A 4,832-nucleotide genomic window follows, 5' to 3' on the forward strand; every position below is an offset into this window, starting at 1 on the left:
AGACAAACAGAGAGCCAAATCATGAGTGAACTCCCATTCACAATTGCTTCAAAGAGAATAAAATACCTAGGAATCCAACTTACAAGGGATGTGAAGGACCTCTTCAAGGAGAACTACAAACCACTGCTCAAGGAAATAGAAGAGGATACAAACAAATGGAAGAACATTCCATGCTCATGGGTAGGAAGAATCAATATCGTGAAAATGGCCATACTGTCCAAAGTAATTTACAGATTCAATGCCATCCCCATCAAGCTACCAATGACTTTCTTCACAGAATTGGAAAAAACTACTTGAAAGTTCATATGGAACCAAAAAAGAGCCCGCATTGCCAAGTCAATCCTAAGCCAAATGAACAAAGCTGGAGGCATCACACTACCTAACTTCAAACTACATTACAAGGCTACAGTAACCAAAACAGCATGGTACTGGTACCAAAACAGAGGTATAGATCAATGGAACATAACAGAGCCCTCAGAAATAACGCCGCATATCTACAACTATCTGATCTTTGACAAACCTGAGAAAAACAAGCAATGGGGAAAGGATTCCCTATTTAATAAATGGTGCTGGGAAAACTGGCTAGCCATATGTAGAAAGCTGAAACTGGATCCCCTCCTTACACCTTATACAAAAATCAATTCAAGATGGATTAAAGACTTAAACGTTAGACCTAAAACCATAAAAACCCTTGAAGAAAACCTAGGCGTTACCATTCAAGTTTCTAATTAAAATCTCCAAGTTTTGTGCCATATATAGAAGAAACCATTTTGGGAAGGATAGTGGATGTTGAGTCTTCCTTTTCCAACAGTCCTGGGTATCCTATTTAGGGGTTCATGTAGTTATAAGGATCTTTATTTTGCCACTTCCAACTCATATGACTCAGTCTGGTCAATTAGCACCAACCATTTGCCAGGCCATAATAATTGTTCAGGAGCAGGCATGTGACCCAAGCCAGTTCAATTAGAGTGAACCTCAAAATTTTTCTTGGATTTCTGGAACTAATGTGCTGTTTTCAAATTCCTTTTGAAACTGTGGAGTGTGATTGTGAGACTTGAAATCATGATGTTGATTCTTATTACCATGAACGAATCCAGCCTGAGGGTAATACTGACACAAGGAGGAGGACAGAATCAAAAGAATTATAGAGAAATGGATCTGGAGACCTGATGACATTATGGTCCTCTGGATCAAGCCATTCCATCAAATCAAATTAGATGCTGAGTTTCATACGCCAGTATATCACCTTATTTAATAAAGTATGTTGTTATATTTTCTATTACTGGCAAGCAAAAACATTCTGCTATTTTTTACTTGTTATCAATGAACCCATTATCATCCCATTTATTTAAAGAAAGTAAAACGCCCATTGCATTACCTACTTTTAAATTGAGTTACATTCTGATGGACCCACAAAGGTAAGTTAGGAAGAAAAATATTGTCACGTAGGTTCATAATGGGACTTGGCTAGGATTCTTTTGGATTGCCCATTTAGATGTGACAATTATATGACAAAATCAATCACTTAATACAGTTAAAGCTTGTTGGCTTTTTTCCTGATAACAATTAGTCAATAAAATCAGTTTCTAAAGAAATTAGAATAATAGAGCTATACTATGAACTAGAAAATTTTGTTTACTTTTTTATAAACCATATCAAATGACATGGTTCCTTTGTACCTCACACATGAACAAAAGAATTTCAATACTTCAGGGATTAATGGTGGTATTACCAAAGAATTGCCTTTTCCCATGTCAAATTCCAACTGAAAAAAAAAAATGGAATATACAAATCATGAATCAACTTTGTAAAATAAAGGTGAAAGCTATCTACATGCCTGAAAGTTGGAAGAATTTCTGTTAGATACATACCAACAGAATTGATTGATGAAGATACACATAAGACTCTCCAATGAGAGAATGTGGTATGTTCAAGATAAAAGTTAAAGGAATCTTTAATGATACTCCCCCATCCCTGATATCCCTTGACTCAAAGCTTCAGTCTAAAGAGCCTTTGAGCAACAATACTGAGATACTGGAGTGCCACTTTGAGACCCTGATATTGATGACCAATCCCAATGTAATAGACATGTTCAACATATTCAATGAATAAATTAATGATTATGAACAAAGATCATGAATAACAGATTGAACACTATAAAAACTTAAAGTTAAGATTAAATTCAAGAAATGTTGGCCGGGCGCGGTGGCTCACGCCTGTAATCCCAGCACTTTGGGAGGCCGAGGCGGGCGGATCACGAGGTCAGGAGATCGAGACCATCCCGGCTAAAACGGTGAAACCCCGTCTCTACTAAAAATACAAAAAATTAGCCGGGCGTAGTGGCGGGCGCCTGTAGTCCCAGCTACTTGGGAGGCTGAGGCAGGAGAATGGCGTGAACCCGGGAGGCGGAGCTTGCAGTGAGCCGAGATCCCGCCACTGCACTCCAGCCTGGGCGACAGAGCGAGACTCCGTCTCAAAAAAAAAAAAAAAAGAAATGTTTTTCATCTTGGAGGAGAAAGGCAATCAAGACTAAATAAGAGAAGACAAATGACAGAACTAGGAAATCAACCTGTAAATATCAACAGTTACTGAAAAAGAAAATAAAGCAAGAGCAGAAGCAATATTCATACAATAATGAAAAATCTTCAATGTAATTGAAAAAATATGTCAGGAAAAATTGTTATTTACAAACCCCTGATAGTTAATAAGAAGTATGGTTATTAAGTATTCCGGATTTGTTGGATAATAATCTCAGGAAGAGCTAAATTCCTCTGTTCAAGGAAAGGAATAGAAAAAGACATGGCGATTAGAAAACATGGGAGAAAGGAAAGTCTGGAAACAGTAAAACAGGAAAATAACGTAGCTGAGAAAGACAGGGAAAGAGATCTCAAACAGGTATTTGGGGAGCAAAATGATATATCTCCCAATACAACCATTTTCCTCTATCTCCCCATTAAAATGTTGGTAAAATTGATATTGTTCATTCACTGGTACTTAATGATGTACTTAGTGTTAAGAGATAACACATTGTGCTCAGATCCTGCCTGAAGGCTATTGTGAGGCAAGAATGGCGGATTCCTGTGATGACTGAGTCACATCTAGACTGCACACAAGGAACTTTCTTGCTCAAAAAAAAAAAAATCTTTGGTCTAAAAATTCAAAGTTTACATCATGCTTGACATAAACTAACTGAAAAGCATAATATATCTAGGCCAGTCCTATTAGAATTTCAAACTTTCAAGAGAACGACTCACAAATTTTGAAAAAACAATCAGATCATCCACAAAGAGAAAATTTAGCCTGACCCTAACTACACCACCACACCAAGCAGTGCAATGGAGTACCATCTGTAGAGTTTTGTTGAGACAAGCGGGGAACGATGTGCCTTGAGAATATAAGATCTAATCAAGATTTTTATGGCTAGAAAGGAACTTACACTATAAAATCTCATGTAGGGGGTAATCACTATGAGTCTCAATGATCTGAAAAAGCTTAACAGAAGTGTTATGCCTCAAAAACAGGCTTTGACTAGAAGGCAAAAGACATAGGCATTTCTAGGTATTTTGGAGAAGAAGTGATCTTAGAGAAGACGATGATATGTAAGGGGGAATTATTGAAGGTGAAGTGATCAAAAAGCTAACAAAGAAACTTGAGTCATGATTGTACATTATAAGAAAATGAGAATTATTGGAGTTTCATGAAGAAAAAGTGACATGAAGCCAACTGTTTCTCAAAACAAAACTGTAGGGAATAGACAGGAGCAACTAGAAACATGGGGCCGAAGGGACAATGCAAAGATCTAAGAGATGATAATGACTGCCTAAACCAAGATGGTGGCAATGGGGGTATTTACAAAGAGGTACAGGTGGGAAGGAATCATTTTGACAAAAGATCTGCTGGGGCTTAGTGTTAGGGTTACAGGGAAGGGATAAGAAAGGTAGTATATGGTTGTACTGTAAGTTCTGACTCAAGAGTTGAACTCAAGTTTATGTACTTATCATAAGATGCTTGAAAAACTCCACACTCAGTAAACTAATAGCAAAATAACCAGTAACCAACCCTTGAATTGTTCAGAGTATATCTAACCATTTTGTAACAATTATATTTCAGAAAGGCAGAAACTGAGAGAGAAAGTAACAATACATTTACAGACCAGTAGAAGGGTGTAAATAATAATCTTCAAAAAAGAAATGGGCAAATACTTAAAGGAGTATGTGCACATGAGAGCTATATAACCAGAAATTATGTGAAGGAAGATGCAAGAGCAAAGAATTAATAGTGATACGGGAGAAGCTGAATCAGTTCCGTAGGTTTACAGTCTGTGTAAGAGAAGTTAATGGAGTTGGAAAAATTATTCTTGAGCTACCTAGACTGGGGTTTTTCACAGAGGTGACCTAAAACCAGCTACTCTGATCGGGATTTTGCAAAAAGGAATTAAAGGTGTTTTAGGTACTGAAACCAATATCTCCGTCTTTATGGAGAGGATTGTGGGTGATCAGAACTAAAAAAGGCAGTGATTCAGGTAGTCTACCATTTTAAATTTTGTTGACAGGTAAGAGAGAAGAAACTAAAGACAATTCTAAGGTTTAAATTCAAATGACTAGAAGAATGATGATGTCATGAACATAAATAGCAAACTCTAGAAGGGAGTTTGATTTGGAGAGGAACATGAATTTAAATTTAAACTTGCTGAATGTGAAATGGCAGCAAGACATCCAAGTAGAAATTTATTACAGGCTGTTGGGAACCTGGAACTGGAGCCCATAGTACAGGCCTGGACTTTAGGATAGCAATAGGTTTTGGAATCAGTTTCAAGAAGGGATATTTAAAAC

This window comes from Homo sapiens, chromosome 3, assembly GCF_000001405.40.
Source record: "Homo sapiens chromosome 3, GRCh38.p14 Primary Assembly".
Classification (NCBI taxonomy): Eukaryota; Metazoa; Chordata; class Mammalia; order Primates; family Hominidae; genus Homo; species Homo sapiens.